General features: G+C 38.6%; 1 long non-coding RNA gene across 1 annotated transcript in view, besides 1 other annotated feature; it reads left to right on the plus strand.

The window, feature by feature from the left end:
* Positions 1 to 7,698: 7,698 nt before the first annotated feature.
* Positions 7,699 to 17,982, plus strand: part of LINC02098 (long intergenic non-protein coding RNA 2098) — a 32,676-nt gene continuing 22,392 nt past the window's right edge. The window contains exons 1-3 of the long non-coding RNA NR_146647.1: positions 7,699 to 7,875; positions 10,571 to 10,652; positions 12,915 to 13,029. This is a non-coding gene — a long non-coding RNA (long intergenic non-protein coding RNA 2098). The remainder of the gene's footprint in view (positions 7,876 to 10,570; positions 10,653 to 12,914; positions 13,030 to 17,982) is intronic.
* Positions 9,280 to 9,781: an enhancer, noted in NCBI's record as "NANOG hESC enhancer chr11:128080242-128080743 (GRCh37/hg19 assembly coordinates)". NCBI's record gives its function as "activates a minimal SCP1, AML or CMV promoter by ChIP-STARR-seq in naive H9 embryonic stem cells {active_cell/tissue: H9 hESC(naive)}" and the evidence as "EXISTENCE:reporter gene assay evidence [ECO:0000049][PMID:30033119]".

The raw sequence follows: 17,982 nt of genomic DNA on the forward strand, positions 1-17,982 counted from the left end.
GAAACCACTAGACACAGCAGGTAAAGGACTTGTTTTTCAACTGTTTTCAAATCTGTGGTCTCATTCCGCCTTGCTCCTAACAGCACCAAGAGGGACTGCTACAGTTCTGTATTTTATCTCACAAGATGAATCAAACGTCTCAGGCACCCGTCACCACTATTGTGAGGTTTTGAAAAGTGACACATTACTTTCCTAATTCAATTCATATGAAAACTTGCAGAGATAAAGTTTACCTAGTAGTTATATTAAATGAATGGAAAGCAGATAGCCCTGTGTACAAAATAGCATGCTGCTGCTGGTAAGAGTCAGCGGAAAGTTCTGACCCTCACTCACCACACACCTATCCCCAAGCTCCTGCTAATGTACATATTGCCAAATCTCAGCAACTTAATATAGTTAAATTCCCTATAATATAATAATTAAGTTCCTTGTAATGTATTTTTCTTTGTTTCTTCTTTAGTGCAAGTACCTAACCACCATTCTTTACACAATATAGTTAGGACAACCTGGAATAAAGCTTGAAGGCCCCACTGAATTAAGCAAATGTAAAGCAAATTGATGCTCAATGTCCTGGAAGAACAATGCACAAAGGCCTCCCACCTAGTTAGTTTGTATATTACCTTGGATACAGTCAGAAGACAGAAATCATATAGCAATTTGCACTGCGAATTTTAGCAAAGTATTAACTGGTAGTAGAAGATTAGCTACTAAGAAAGGAAGAAGGAAAATTCTGAAGAATATTCTAAGGCTGAGGTAGAGCACCCCCTCCCCAGGAAGGAACAAACTAGGAAGGAGAATCCCATCTCCGAGGCTGGGTTTCAGAGCCTGTTTTTGAGGGTGTGGCCAAAGCCTGTGGGATGGGGGGAAAGTTTGCTGGGGTGTTCCAGACCAGAGGTGATGCCAGTTGCCAGGCCAACTGTAGTGGGTAGAAAACAACAAGCAGGAAATAATCTCCTGAGTTGGCAGCTGGCTGGTGCTTGTGGGCAGGGAATCATTGGCCTGGGTCTGGCAACTTGAACGTGCCCCACACGGCTGGCCATGGAGAAGGCTGAGAACAGACACTCCCGCAACACTCTCCAGTGGAAAAGTAGAAACATTGACATGATCCAGCTCCAGCATCACAAGCTGTCAATGAAGGTGGATTTGATGACTGTTGAGAAACAATAATCTGACAACTGGCATTGTTGGAGTTTTGTGTTTGTTTACTTGCCTGTTGTTTGCTTGTTTTGGACGAGTTGGAAAATACTACCTGGCCCCTCCATACACACTGCTTAGATCTGGAGGATAAAATGAACTAGTTAGCAAAAAGAGGCTGAGGTTTTCCAGACAGGAAAGCATAGTATCATTTCTCATAATTACAGTCTAGGCAGACCTGTCACAACAGACCAGGTCACACCTGAGGGGCTGTGGCCAAAGCCCAGGGGCAGGCAGGACATTGAAGTTTGGGGATTAAATTTACATCGATAAAGGTGGGTGTTGAGTCTTTGTACCAGGCTGGGTCTAGATGTCTATGTCTTTGAGGGGGCTTTCAAGTTTCTTTGGTGTGTGGCTGATACTGGAAACGTTTCTAGTCCCTGCCTCAACATCAATAAATCCATCTTGAAGAATAAAGGCTGAGCATGGTGACTGTGAACTACAGAGAGCTATAACCCTGAGCACAAGTTTGAGCCCCGTGAATGCCCTGCAATATATGTGAGTCAGTAAGTGCACCCTGGGGAAGGTGCCATATCTTCAATGCAGACACTATGCATTGTGAGGACGGAGCTGGCTTGACCGTTCTGTCTACATCTGCCACCAGAAGCAGGTACCTACCCTCATCCCAGCAGGCATGAACCCCGACTCCAGCCTTAGGGAAGAGTAAGCCTCTCGGGTTCTTGAGACAGGAGAAGGCTTAAGAGAGAAGTAGTGGGATTTTTTAAATAAATACAACATATTTTTTATATTTTTAATAAGAAATAAATTTACAGAGAGAAAAATTAAAGTATTTCAAAAGAACATATTATAACAGGTGTTAATTCTACCCCTTCTCCAATCCACCCAGGTTCACTCTCAAGAAACTATTGTATTATTAGAGTTTTGGTAGTGCTTCCAAAGATATGGTATGCATTATAACTACACACACACATATGTATATTCTATATATAATCTATATATTATATACATATATATAATCTTATTCTGTTTCCACACAAATAGCATTCTACACACTGTTCTGTGCTTTGAGCTTTGATTTTTTTTAACTTTTCGAGTTATACTTTTACCAACAATGTATAAGCCATAGTTGCCTGTCTCCTCACACCTTATTAAATTTTGCTAGTCTAATAGATGAAAGATTGAATTTCAGTTCAATCTAGGTTTGAATTTTTACTTAATTTATTCCCTAAGTTTGAATTTTTACTTAATTTATTCAAACTAACACTTCGTATTTTTGGTTAGTTGAATATCCATTTATTTTTTTTTCTACTGTGACTTGTCTATTTAAATTACCTCCCATTTTCCCATTATGTTGCTTCTTGATTAAGAGATGCTATTCTTCTCTCAGTTCAGAGATCAAAATGTGTTTCTCTCATTTTTTCACTTGATTGGTAAGTTTATTTACTTATTTGTTTTGGTGATTTTTGTCATGCAGTGATTTTTAAAATGTATTTAAATGTATTAGTCTTTTTAGTTTTAATTCCCTAAAAAGGCCTTTGGAACCACAATATTACAATGTATTTCCATGGTTCATCTAATAATTTAGTATCTTACATTTAAATATTTAATACAGTTATGTATTTATTTTGGGTATAATTCATGAGGTAATATTCTAACTTTATTTTTCCCATATGAATACACAAGTCTTTTTATATAGTTGTACAAAAAAATTTCTCTTCCAGGCCAGGTGTGCTGTAATCCCAGCACTTTGGGAGGCCGAGGTGGGCAGATCACCTGAGGTCAGGAGTTCGAGATCAGCCTGGTCAACATGTTGAAACACATCTCTACCAAAAATACAAAAATTAGCCATGCATGGTGGTGGGTGCCTGTAATCCCAGCTACTGGGGAGGCTGAGGCAGGAGAATCACTTGAACCCCAGAGTCAGAGGTTGCAGTGAGCCAAGATCACGCCACTGCACTCCAGCCTGGGTGACAGAGCGAGGCTATGTCTAGAAAGAAAAAAAAAATCTCTTCCAAATCAAGTTTAATGATACTGTCTCAATGTTGACAGTCCTGAAAAAAATTGTGCTTTTTAAACCTTTGTTTAGTTTTTAAAATATGCTAGACTTCATTTTGAACTTTTTCCTGAAACTAATTATTTGAACTTTTTCTTGGACTCCTAATTACGTGTATGTTGAATCTGCTTTCTCTGCCTTCTCTAGATGTCATTTATCATTCATACTAAGATTATGTTAGTTTCATTTTACTGTATTTACTTACATCTACCATTCCTGTCTTCTGCCTTATTGGAAGTGACTTTTCTCCCCTGTGTGCCTTGTTTTTTCACACTAACTTCTGTGATGTTTACGTTTTTTAAATGTTTGTATTTTAAAAAAATGTTTGATACTCACATTTCACTTCTTTCTAGTGTGTAGTCATCTGACTCTTGTGTCATTACTTTGTATTCTTATATTATAGATTCAATTGCTTCATTATTCATTTTTTTAAAAAATTCATGAGAAATATTTGAAGATGATTTTGATCTATAGCCACGTATTTCTGTTGAACATTATAAATTCACCAGTTGCTCCATATTTTCTTTGTTTTATAATGGTATTTTATATACGTTGCACTGGTTCTTCTTAATTATTCATCTCTGAATTAAATAAGCTTTTGCCAAAACAGCTATTTCAGGGAGAGTTTTATGGTAGTAAGTCAGGATTACTTACATACCAGGAAGAATTTGTGTCCTGACCGTGGCATTGTGAGTGAGTTTTAATCCGTACTTCTCCCCAGCCAGTAAAATGTCCAGGCACAGGGCTGATTACAATGAGAGGCTTCTCATTTACCTCTGTCCTGAAGATGATACCAACTTCAACATTTTCAAATGAAAAGTCTCCTGGTGGTTTCTTGAGGAATTGATTGGAAATAAATAAAATAAATATAGTTGTAGTATGTCTTGTGTGAGTGTATAAGTCAGACTATAACTGATTCATAGGGTTTTGAAACAGGAATTTTATACTAAAATTGGTTAAAATATTCGTAACCAGCACAGTCACATTATCTCTGTAGACTATGAAATACAAATGTTATACCAGAACATTTAAGTGTTTCTTCTTTCCCTTACAGCATCCTAATTCACATAGCATTCTATCTTACAGTAGGAATAGTCAAGTCTCAATTATCTAACATACTCTTTAAAAAAAGGTGTGCTATTTTCCTCTTGGGATATATTCTTCCATTAACAGTCAATAAACCCATAGATTAATGGAGAGACAAGAGAGATGCTGACAAAAATAATGAAAGTTAGGCCCTTTATATTTTTAATTCACAAGCAAATATTTTCCATAATAGCCATAATCCATATCAAATAACTTTGATATCTAGGATTATTTTGTTTCTGGATGATACTAAACTAGACTTTGATCTGTATCATCCTTAATCACTACCATCACTGTCTCTGTCATCACTGTCTCTCCTATCCTTAATCACTTAATCACTCTATTTCCACTAGTTTTTAATTAATAGATGAGAACCTCTAAAGTCATGATGATTGTATCTCAAATACACTACATATTGTATAAATATATCTTGTATTAGTCTGTTCTCACACTGTTATAAAGAAATACCTGAGACTGGGTAATTTATATGGAAAAGAGGTTTAATTGGCTCACACTTCTTCAGGCTGTACAGGAAGCACAGCAGCTTCTGCTTCTGGGGAGGCCTCAAGAAACTTAAGAAACTTACAATCATGGCAGAAGGCAAAGCTGGAGCAGGTGACTCACATGGCTGGGGGAGGAGCAAGAGAGGGAGGAGGGATGTGCTACACACCTTTAAACAATCAGATCTTGTGAGCACTCACTATCATGAAAGGAGCACCAAGAAGATGGTGCTAACCTATTCATGAGAAACCACCCCCATGATCCAATCACCTCCCACCAGGCCCCACCTCCAACACTGGGTATTACAATTCAATGTGATATTTGGGCAGGTACACAGATCCAAACCATATCACATGTATGTATTTAATTGGGCTTTCAGAAGACAGTGGTGACACCTAAAGTAATGACCTCTGCAAAAGAAGATAGAGTAAATTTTGAGATTGATCTTTTTGGTGGACTAGGGGAGAAGGAAGGGCAGAAAGGATTATAGGGTAGTTCTCATTAAGCAACAGAATAACATTCAAGCAAAACAAGTCTTTACACTTAGAACCAATTTAAATTATCCAGTTCTTCACCCACACACATTAAGCTAGCTGATCTCAGGACTGAAAATAAAACAAAACTTTGTGTAACTCATAATATGTAATCCATAAAGCTCCCAGGAAACAGATTCTAGTGTCTTAAGGCATACTTCTCCAATACAATCATTCTGACACCATCACATTTATGAAATCAAACTCAGAGGAATGGGGGTGCTAGGGTTTAGATATGGTTTGCTTGGCCCCACCAGGTCTCATGTTGAAATCTGATCCCCAGTGTTGGAGGTAGGGCCTAATTGGAGGTGTTTGTTCTTGGGGATGAATCAGTCATGAATGGATTGATCCTATCCTTGCAGTAATGAGTGAGTTCTCACTCTTATTTCCTGAAAGAGTTTGCTCAAGAGCTGGTTGTTAAGAAGATCCTGGCACATTCTCCCCCTTTTGATTTTTCTCTTGCCATATAATCTGAACATGCCAGCTCCTCTTGCCCTTCTGCCATGAGTGGAAGCAGCCTGAGTCCCTCACAAGAAGCAGATGCTGGCACCATGCTTCTTGTGCAACCTGCAGAACTATGAGCTAAATAAACCTCTTTTCCTTTTGAATTAACAAGCCTGAGATATTCCTTTATAGAAACACAAATAAACAAATACAGGAGGTACAAACATAAAGGGGTAGCATGAAGGAGTTATTCTGTGGTGATAGAAGAATTCTGTATTTTGAATGTGATAATGATTATATGAATCTGTATATCGGACAAATTGCATAGAACTACATACATACACACATGCATGAATACATGTAAAAGTACTGAAAACTAAATAAGATCTATAGTCCAGTTAACAGCAATGTACCAATGTCAATTTCCTTGTTTGATGTTGTACTACCATTATAATATGATGTCATGCTTGGGGGAAGCTGGGTGAATGGTGCAGGGGTTCCTAGGTACTCTTTTGCACAACACTCTGAGTCTATAATTACTTTGAAAGTTTTTTTTTAAGCTAAGGAAAAGTTTCTTTCATTCAATAATCAACATCAACATTAACTTTCAACTGTTGACCTACATTACCACAGGGGTGAGCAGCTTGGGAGAAGAGGGCTCCTCAGTCTTGGTGCCAACGTGTTGTTTCTTGGCACCCCCACTGTTAATCTTGAGCAGACCTCCAGACCTACTCCAAATAAGCACACCAGTTGTGTAAAGCCAAGTATCCTGTTCAAGATCTTTTCTAGTCTTCATCCTTCCCTAGTTAGATCGCTACTTGAAACACTTTGGAAGCCACCATTAGATTGAGGGCTACTACTGGTAGTTCAGGGACCCAGATGGAAGAAGACACAGAGGTCAGCTGGAGAATTATAAGGTCTTCTTAATCTTATCCAATGTTTTTCAAGGATGGCAAATCAAATTCTGTCACTAACTTGGTTGTATTTATGTGACAAACGTTTAGTCAGTGCCTTCCCTGAAAGTCCTGAAACTTGTGAAAATGATTCCTGGTTGCCCAGTGCCTACAGGATAAATTCCACATCACTGAGTCGCTCACATAAACTCTTTCACAATATTTGCCCAACCTGCCTCTCTAGACCTATTTTTTTTCTTACTCCTTTCACCATCATTCTTCTTCAGGTTACCCTTACCCCAGAGGATATGATGCATTCTATATTCATCCACGTACATTTACTTGCAGTTTCACAAATATTGCACCACCCATTGTTCCTGCTAATCACTAAGTTTGGAATGTTCCCTCTGCCATTCCTGGAATATCCCTTGTCCCAACACACACATACATACACACACACACACACACATTCAAGCACAGAAAACACACACAAATCTTTTAGGGCCCAGTTCAAAAGTGGTTGCTTTGACATATTCCCTAACTAACCCCTGTGGTTTAGAATGGCCACTTCTTTCAGCTCCTCGCATTAGGAGGTGGAGACAGTTTTCCCCATTCTTGATTCTGGAATGGCCCAGTTAATTGTTCTCACCAGTTGAATGCAGTAGAGGTGGCACTGTGTGACTGTCCAGTCTCACTCAAGAGGCCTTGCAGTTTTTGTTCTCACTCTCTTGGAAAGCTGCTGCCCCCATATTAAAAACCTGGGTCAATATGCTGGAAAAGCCACATGGAAGAGAGCCAAGACACTCAGCTGCAAATTCGATGTTACTGCCAAGTATGTGAAGGAAACTTTCTTGGATCCTCTGGCTGCAGCCAAAACACCATGAGTAATCCCAAGAGATGCCAACAGAAGAGCTGTGTGGCTGAGCCCAGATCCCAGAGCAAAATCATGAACAATACCTTTTGTTTGAAGGTTCTTTTTTGGAATGATTTGTTACACCGTACTAGACAATTGATACAGCCTCGCCCCAACTCCAACCTCAAAAAACTAGTCATTCGGAATTCTGAAAGACCACAGCACTCTATGTCTACTTCTATTATAGATTCATATTTGACCATAATTATTTATTTCAACATTTCTCTGCACTACCAGACTTTGAGTTCCCTGGAACTAAAAATATTGCTTGGACCTCACGCTGTACCTGAATACCTGGTAAGCACTAAAGTAGTAATTGGCAAAGCAATGAAAAGCTAAAGAACTGGCCTTACTCAGGTTGATCCTGTCTGAGTGTGTTCGTCAAACCACAGGCAGAAGGAACTTTCACTTCATACACTGGAAAGAATAGTGAACCTCATGCCTCAGTGGTGTGGCTCACCTGAGGTTAAGTTTAGCAGCAGTAGTAGACTGGAACTTTTTAGAATGCTAAGATTCAACAGCCTCAGATGAACAGTATTTTACTAGCTCTGCCAATCTAAAAGCCTAGGGAACTCTTTGCTTGCAAATAAAAGAATATAATTCCAAGCAAAATCCTGTAAGACTTGGCTTTGAGTCAAAATTATAAAAATAAAAACATTTGATTTTTACAATTCCTCTCTAGAGTTTTGTCCAGCATTATCCAGATGAAGTTGAATTATTCAATATACCCTATAGTTATTTACATATAACTGGTGACATGGCTGAAAAAAGGAGGATCTTATCAATTGTCTTCAGATAATAATTTCTCCAGTTTAGAACCATATTTTGCCTATATGTTAGCTGGACGAGTCCAACTATTGAATCATTAAGTAATCCATTTCTAAGCATGGATATTAAGTTACTTTTTTACATTTAGTTAAGGTTGCATTATTGCATTTAGTACTATTTTCATCTTATGTGTTACTGTTAATATTATGTTATCTTTAATCACTAGATGAAGTTGGAAGGCAAAAAATGAGTAAGGGGCTTGGAAGAAGAAATTTTCAATTCTTGTTTTGCTTTGTCAGTGACTTGCTCCTTGTCCCTTTTCGTCTTAAATATTTGTCCCTAGTTTCATTACTGGCAATGCCTTTTAATGAAAAAAGAAATGTTTTAATTAACCACAATAGTATTTGTTTATGTTAACTTAAAAATTACAGCATTTGCAAATTTTTAACTATAACCAAAATCAACAGCTAGCCTAATTTTAAAAAAGACTTTAGAATGCCTTGATATCTATTGGAACATTACATATTTGTGATCCATTTTACTTTCTACTGTTGAACAGCAGATCCTTCTGGTTCAAGAAAGGCTACGACTCCTTATTAAGTTGCTGTAGTATTGGCAAAATACAAACCAAACTCTATATTAGTGACCCTGTATTTATTTGTAAGAAAATTTAATCCATATGATTTTGAGTCATTGTCACTTACAGTAATACAAGCAAATCATGCTGCGTAAGTGCTACTTGATTTCCAAGATGCCTTTTGAACCACCTTTTGAGGTGGTCTTTTTTATTTAGGACAAGAAGGTTTATTTTTACTGGTTGAAAAAAGGCTCAAGTTTGAGTAAAAATATGGGCATTCATCAAAACAGAGGATGAAAAACAGACTTCTTCAGACAAGTAACAGCGTAAGTGTTGAGGAGTGTTCTAGACAGATAGACTGACTCAGCTGTGACATGTACACTTTCTGGGCAAAGATTAACCCTCCTGCCAGCATAAGCCGACAGTAATAAGCAAGTCAACTTTTCTTTTCCACATTGTCCAATGTAGACAACTGGTGACTGAATTAAAAATGCAAATCAAATTATTGTAAAGTGAATGTGTGTTGATTTTGTAACATTTATTTAGGTGGGAGAGCCAGGGTTTGAATCAGTCTTGTGTTGTCTGTTGAACTGGGTGCTGAATGGAATCCACCTAAACTGGCTCGTCCTCAAACTTCATACCAGAGCAATGAATCACCTTCAAAGCTAACTCAGGGAGCATATTGGCTCCAAAGACCATTAACCCTGGGAACTCCCCAACTGAAAGGTGGGACTGGAGAGATTTAGAACTGCTGGCTTGGAGTTGTGAGTCATGGTTGAATGCCAACAACCTGGCATAAATCACAGAAGCACTTGAATTTCACATTCATTACTTACAACAGTGTGGAAATTGCTCAACATTTATGGCAGACATGCATTCCACAGATATAAAAATAAAACTTTATTAGAAAACTTGATATTAAATTTAGACACTGAGAATTAAATTCCAGGAGAGCCAATCTTTATCAAATCATAAATAAGAAATAGAGTGGTTCCATTGTTTAACTTTTCTTTTTCATAATCTATATGGCTAAAAATCTTAATCAAAAGACATGACATTTAGAGACAAAAAAACATAGATTTAAGATCCTACTCTGCTGATCACTAGTTAATTGATGTTGGGAAATCACAAAACTCTCTATTGTAGCTTTAGTTTTTTCAGCCTAATGTGCATCATAGGGTTAACATCGAGATCCAATGAGGTACTATGTCTAGCAACCTTTTAGAGACATTAATTTAGAGTCATTCATTTATTCTTTGGATTATATGTGCAAAATTGAGAAAAAGGCGTAAGCACAAAATTTCATGTGACTAAAACTCAGGAATCTCTGAATATTTTTAATCTCTGTAGGAAAATGTTGTAAGATCTATAACACTGTATTTCAATCTGTTTCTAGGCATTAAGAACTTATTTGCCTCATAACCCAAATTCCTGCTCCCCAATAAAAAATGAGTAACATCAGGGTATAAAATGCCAGCTGGAAGAGTATTCGCAACCATATACAATGAAGAGTCACACTTCCAAGAAGAAAGCCGATGTCCCACTTCAGCATCAAATCTAAGACACTGCATTTCACTTTTTCTGTACAAATATCATAATCTGTTTGTTAATCTCTTGGTTTTATTTCAAAAATGAAACTATATTTAGAGAGGGAACAAATTCTACCAGTTGCTGTTGGAAGCAAAAGATCTTTTTCATTCTTGGATGCTTTATATTTGGACAGAGAAAGGTACATATTTGAACCATATGTGAATTCAAGTCTAATGTATTAGTTTGATTGTGCCAGAGTTCCTAGAGGGCTCCAGAAACCAAAGGATGTGGCTGTTCACCCTAATTTTGGAGAATTGAATGCCTTTGCTCACAGTAGGAATCCAGAATAGAACGTAGCAACTTCTGTTCCTCATGATTTTGTATACTCCATCCATAATCATCTGTCCTCATTCCAGACGCTAGCTTGGTTTACCGTATGGTAGCAAAATCAGTCAGTTTTCATTTTCTCGGGGAGAGAGGAGACTACTGGCAGGAGGAAGAGGAAGGCAGAGTAGAATGACAAAATTGTGTGTGTGAAACATGGCTGCTCAGCCCAGTACTAGCAATAGCAATCATTTTGCTATCTTTCTTCCATGTCTATTAAGTGAGAGTTTGGCCTGGTTGATTTCTAAGATTTTTTCTATGTCCAACAGTGAGCAATCTTATCAAATTCTTGAACTAGGCCACCACAGATGACTACAATCATTTGGCTCATATAAAGATGAATTAATGCAAAAAATGCTTGCATAAATGAAGGTATGGCACAAAAGAAATATAAATGGAGGTAAAGAGAGCTATACCATTTTAATGCAATCATGATTTTGACTTCAGTACACTCTGGAATATACCAATCAAATTACAACATCTTCTCCCTAAGGCAGGCATTTCAGTAGTGGACATAAGAGAACTAGTGTATCAGTCAGGATCCTCCATAGAAAAAGAACCAAGAGAATATGTCAATCCACCCTTGTTTGTTTGATTGATTGAGTAGTTGCCTCATCCCAGTTGTCAGGACTGTCAAGTCTGAAACCCATATGTCAGGCTCACAGTGTGGAAACTCTGGTAGGATTTGATGCTACAGATTTGATGCTAGGGCCTTGAGACAGAATTCCTCCTCCAGGGTATCCCTTAGACTGTCCTTCAACAGACGAATGGTTCAGCTTACTGTGCTGTTCAGCTTTCAATTGATTGGATGACATTCGTCCACATTATCATGGGTAATACCTTTTACTTAAAGACAACTGCATCAGCAAAATAACTTCACAGTAACACCCAGACTAGCGTTTGATTAAATAACCTGCTTTTTAGCTGAGTTAACCAGAAGACTAACCATAACAACTAGTATAGTGTTGAGTTAAAGAATATTCCCTTTTCAATAAAACATTAGGGATTCCGCAAAATAGAGTTAATGCTCTGAAATTTGTCAGCGTTTGTAACAGATTTTACATTTCTGCCAGTCCATGTCAATATTTTCTTCATGCGTCTAGTTTCCAGTTTATTTAGTTAAAGATGCCCAAACCACTTGGTGATTGAGCAAATGACTTTGTTTCCAATGGCATTATGTATAGGAATATTTTAATAGGAACTTGTTCACAAGTCTACATTTATGCACATTTTTGAATGTTAAAAAATTTACAGAATTTTTTAAATCAATGGGCATAACCATGTAGAATCTTAGAACTGCATGGGCCTTCAAGATTATGTCGCTCTACTTTTCACTCAATGCCACAATATCTTCTTCCTTAATGTTGAAATTTTTAGTAGAATATTCCTGATGATGGGTAGATTACTACTTCAAATATCAGTGGATTCTCAGTTCTAAATAGCTCATTATTGGAAAGATCTTTCACGAGATGGCCTGTGTCTATCAACCTGATAGTTCCAGCCACTGACCATCTCTCTGCTCTGTAAAGACATGTATGATAATCTATCATTTCTATAAATCCAATCCTAGTTTCACATATGATCTCTAAAATATTTGTAAACAGCTCCCTGCTTTCTTCACCATGCCTCAGGTGGCACTATAAATTGCTTTCACTATCTCCCTAATCCCCACTATGCTCTAAAAATAAAAAAAAGGAGTATTAATTCATCAGATGTTTATTGAGTTGAATCTATATGTAAGATGCTAGATGAAGTTTTGGCATTGTGCCATTTATCTAAAAAACTCAGACAAAGGCATTTTTAGTCAATGTAATAAAGCCTTAAAATGAATTTAAGGCCAAGATATAGGTATCCATACTTTTAGAATAACTAAATCTTGGTTATTCCTTCACAACAAAAAAGGCAAAAGCCATGTTAATAAATGGATAATACGTTTTTATGCAAACTAGATACACACCATTGGAAGGAAATAGCAATGTTGGTGAACTATGTTTGAGTTTAGGAATTTAGTAGGAAATCAGATAACTTCTGAAGATAACCATTTTCTTTTCCTTTTCTTCTTCATCAATCCAAACAGAATCAGAATCCATCCTTCTTTTTCCTAACCGGAATTTGAGAGACATGAGAAGGGAACTAAACACACAGGCTTCAGGATCTGGTGGAAAGAGATAAGGTGTCTCAACGACTGTTGGGTAAGGATGGGGTGTCAGGGACATCTGAACGAAGAAAGAGTTTAAAGGAGAGGCCTGTGGAGAGGCACAAATGTGTCCGAGATTGGTGGGTTCTTGGTCTCACTGACTTCAAGAATGAAGCCGTGGACCCCTGCCGTGAGTGTTACAGTTCTTAAACATGGTGTGTCAGGAGTTTGTTCCTTCTGAAGTTCAGACGTGTTCAAGAGTTTCTTCCTTCTGGTGGGTTCTTGGTCTCGCTAGCTTCAGGAGTGAAGCTGCAGACCTTTGCGGTATTACAGCTCTTAAGACAGGGCATCTGGAGTTGTTCACTCCTCCCGGTGGGTTCGTGGTCTCACTGGCCTCAGGAATGAAGCTGCAGACCTTCGTGGTGAGTGTTACAGCTCGTTAAAAGCAGTGGGGACCCAAAGAGTGAGCAGCCACAACATTTATCAGAAAGAGTGAAACAACAAAGACTGGGTTGCCACTGCAGGCTCGGGCAGCCTGCGTTTATTCCTTTATCTGACTCCACCCACATCCTGCTGATTGGCCCATTTTACAGAGAACTGATTGGTCCATTTTACAGAGAGCTGATTGGCCCGTTCTGACAGGTAACTGATTGGTGCATTTACAATCCCTGAGCTAGACACAGAGTGCTGATTGCTGCATTTACAATCCTCCAGCTAGACCGTAAAAGTTCTCCAAGTCCCCACCAGATTAGCTAGACACAGAGCACTGATTGGTGTGTTTACAAACCTTTAGCTAGATACAGAGTGCTGATTGGTGCATTTACAAACCTTGAGCTAGACACTGAGTGCTGATTCGTGCATTTACAAACCTTGAGCTAGACACAGGGTGCTGATTGGTGCGTTTACAAACTTTGAGCTAGACACAGAGTGCTGATTGGTGTGTTTACAAACCTTGAGCTAGACACAGAATGCTGATTGGTGTATTTACAATCCTTTAGCTAGACATAAAAGTTCTCCAAGTCCCCACCAGATTAGCTAGATACAGAGTGCTGACTGGTGCATCCACGAACCCGGAGCTAGACACAGAGTGCTGATTGGTGCATATACAATCCTCCAGCTAGACAAAAAAGTTCTCCATGTCCCCACCCAACTCAGGAACCTAGCTGGCTTCGCCTAGTGGATCCGGTGCCAGGGCCACGGGTGGAGCTGCCTGCCAGTCCCATGTTGTGCACCTGCACTTCTCAGCCCTTGGGTGATCAATGGGACCGGGAGCCTAGAAGGAGTGGGCGGCACCCGTCAGGGAGGCTCAGGCTGCACTGGAGCGCACCACGGGGGGACTTGGGCATGGCAGGCTGCAGGTCCTGAGCCCTGCCCCATGGAGAGGCAGCTGAGGCCTGGCAAGAATTTGAGCACGACATGGGTGGGCCAGCAGTGCTGGGGGGACTCGGCACCCCCTCTGCAGCTGCTGGCCCGGGTGCTAAGCCCCTCATTGCCCAGGGCCGGCGGCGCCAGCCGTTGCCTCTAAGCAGGGCCTGCCGAGCCCACGCCCACCTGGAACTCGCCCTGGCCCACGAGTGCCATGCTGCAGCCCAGGTTCCCGCCCACGCCTCTCCTTCTACACCTCCCCGCAAGCAGAGGGAGCAGGCTCCAGCCTTGGCCAGCCCAGAGAGGGGCTCCCACAGTGCACTGGCGGGCTGAAGGGCTCCTCAAGCGTGGCCAGAGCGGATGCCCAGGCCGAGGAGGCGCTGAGAGCGAGTGTGGGCCGCCAGCATGTTGTCACCTCTCACAAGGATTAAAGTGAAGAGTGCTTAAAATCTTCTGGAACACCTTCCCTTCCCCGTAACTGCTTAAATATCTCAGTAATATTTTATAATTACTGAAGATATTTCCACAAATGGAAACATTTCCTTAGATGTGTTTGTTCAACCTAAATCAATATGGTGGTTAAAACCTGTATATGAATGTTTAGAGCAGCTCTATCCATAATGTCCAAGTACTAGAGCAAACCAGATGTCCTTCAACAGATGAATGCTTCAGCCAACTGTGCTGTATCCATAGCACGAAACACTCACTACCCAGTGATTTAAAAAAAAAAAAAATACCAAACTACCGATACATGCAAAAATTTGTATCCAAGGAATTAGGCTGAGTGAAAGAAAAAAAAAAAAGCCAGCCCTGAAGGCCTACATACTATTTGATTTCATTTATACAACATTCTTTAGGTGACATAATTAGAGAAATGGAAAATGGATTGGTGATTTTTAAAGACTGAGGGAGGTGGTAGGAAACTGTGGCTACGAAACAGCAATACAGGACCTTTGTGATGGCAGAACTCTTCTATCTCTTGCCCATATCAATGTCAATATCCTGGTGTAATATTATACAATGGTTTTGCAACATGTTACCATTGAGGAAGACTAGGTAAAGTTCACATGGGATCTTTCTCTATTATGTCTTACTGCTGCATGTGAATCTATAATTATCTCAAAATAAAAAGTTTAAATAATCATATGGGCATATTTAGGTCTGCACCTGCATTATCTATTCTGCTCTTTTTCTATTGATCTATGTCTGTCTCTCCACCAATTCTACACTGTCTTGATTACTGCAGCCTTAGTAAGCCTTCGTATCGGGTGGAGTGCCTCTTCCCACTTTATTCTTTACTTTCAAGATTGTTGTCACATTTCTAGGCTATATGTCTTTTCATACTAATTTTCAAATACACTTGTGTATGTCTACAAAATGTCTTGCTGAGATTTAGATAGGAATTATATTATACCTATAGATCAATTTGGGGAGAATTGACAATTGTATTATTTTGAGTCTTTTCAATTCATAAACACAGTATTCCCATTTATTTAGCTCTTAAGTTTCATCATAGCATTTTATAATTTTCAGCATAAAGAGATTGTACATATCCTGTTAAGTTTATAGCTAAGTATTTCATTTTCTTTGGAGTTATTTTGTAAAAGATTGTGTTTTGAATTGTGTGTCTAATTTTGATTTTCAGGTATTTGTTGTTAGTACACAGAAATGTGACTAATTTTTGTGTGTTGGTCTTGTATTCTGAAAACTTGAGGACTTTTTGGGAGGCAGATTCCTTGAAATTTTCTATGTAAATAATTATGTCATCTGAAAATAGGGACAGTTTTATTTCTTACTTTACAAACTTCCAACCTGTTTGTTTGTTTCATTTGCCTTATTGTAATGGCTGAAACTTTTAGTACTATGTTGATTAAGGTTAGTGGATAGATATCCTTGCCTTGTTCCTAATCTTAGGGAGAAAATTTGGTGAGAAAGTCATCTACACTTAGGTGTGATGTTAGATAAAGGGTTATTATAGATGCTCATTAGTAAGTTGAAGAAGTTCCCTTCTATTCCTATTTTTCTGAGTTATTTTTTTCAATCATGAATGGATGTTGAATTTTGTCAAATGCTTTGCTCTATATTGATTTATATGACCATGTGATTTTTCTTCTTTAACATGTTGATATGGCGAATTATACTGGTCGATTTTGAATGTTAGATCGGCCCCACATAGTTGGAATAAAGCCTGCTTAGTCATGGTATATAATTCATTTTATATATTGCTGTAGTTGATTTGCTAATATTTTGTGGAGGATTTTTGTTATGAGGAATAATTGCCTATAGTTTTCTTTATTTTTTTAAATTTGTATTTTCTTTTCAGTTTTTGGTATCAGAGTAATTCTAGTCTCAAAAAATGAGATGAAAAATATTACCTAAAATTGGTGTCAATCCTTCTTAAAAGTTGGTAGCACTCTCCAGTGAAACCACCTGGACCTGGACATTTCTTCTTCCAGACATCTTAATTACAAATTGAATTTCCTTAATGGTTATAGAAATATTCAGATTGGCAAACTCATCTTGGCTGAGTTTGGGTGGCTGGTGGTTTTCAAGGAATTGGTCTGTTTTTTTCTGTGTTGTTGAATTTATGAGCATTCAAAGGGTTAAAACATATTAATAGTCTGCTGTGGTATAGTCAAGCTCCAAGATGAGCCTCAATGATTCTTGCCTCTTGCTATTCACACTCTTGTGTAGTCACCTTGCACATTATACTGGAGTTAGCCTGTGTGAAATATAGACTATGTCAGAAATGGCAATTATGTCTCTTCCAACACTGGGTTATAAAAGACATTGCAGCTTCTGGTATAGTCTCTGTCTCTCTCTGACTATGGCTCTGAGGAAATCCAGCTGCCACATTGTGTGTAGCTCTATGGAGAAGCCATGTGGTGGAGACATCAGCTCTGTGAGTGCACCATCTTGGATATGGATTCTCCAGTCCAGTCAAGGTTTCAGATGCCTGCAGCTCTGGCCAACATCTTGCCCACAATTTCATGAGGGACCATGGTCCAGGCCATTCAGCTAAGCTCCTCCTAAATTCCTGTCTCTCACAAATTCTAAGATAATAAATGTTATGGAGAAATTTATTAGGCAACAATAGATAACTAATAAGATTGCCATTAATATAATTTTAGGACCATTGAACCAGAATGATTTTCCTTTTTCTTCAGTTTTAATTATTTGATCTTTCTTTTATTCATTCATTTATTCATTCCTTCAGTAAATAAATATTGAATAGACCTCTACTATATGCCATACATTATATTGGGTCTGAGAATACAAGAATGTTAAACAGAATATTAAATAGAATTTTCCTTTTCTATCAGCCCCAAATTAAGGGGCAATAGATAATTGCTCCTTTCTCCTAAAGATAATATCTTGGAATTACAACATATACCTTCTAGGGCTTAATAAAAAATAGTAGGATTAGTCCTGTGCCCCTCAAGCCAGGTAGCTTCTGGAGAAGCAACCAGCTTCTACCAAGCAAGGCCAGAAATCTAAAAGGAATTCATAAATGAGAGTTGTTAGAGTAGGAAGAGCATGAGAGAAACGCTCTGGCCTTTCTCCTCTCCTTCCCATTGTGGGGATTTTTCAAGAGGGTCTCCACAGAGATGGAGTTGAAGTGCCTCAAGAAGACTGGCAACTT

This window comes from Homo sapiens, chromosome 11 (genome assembly GCF_000001405.40).
Source record: "Homo sapiens chromosome 11, GRCh38.p14 Primary Assembly".
Lineage (NCBI taxonomy): Eukaryota > Metazoa > Chordata > Mammalia > Primates > Hominidae > Homo > Homo sapiens.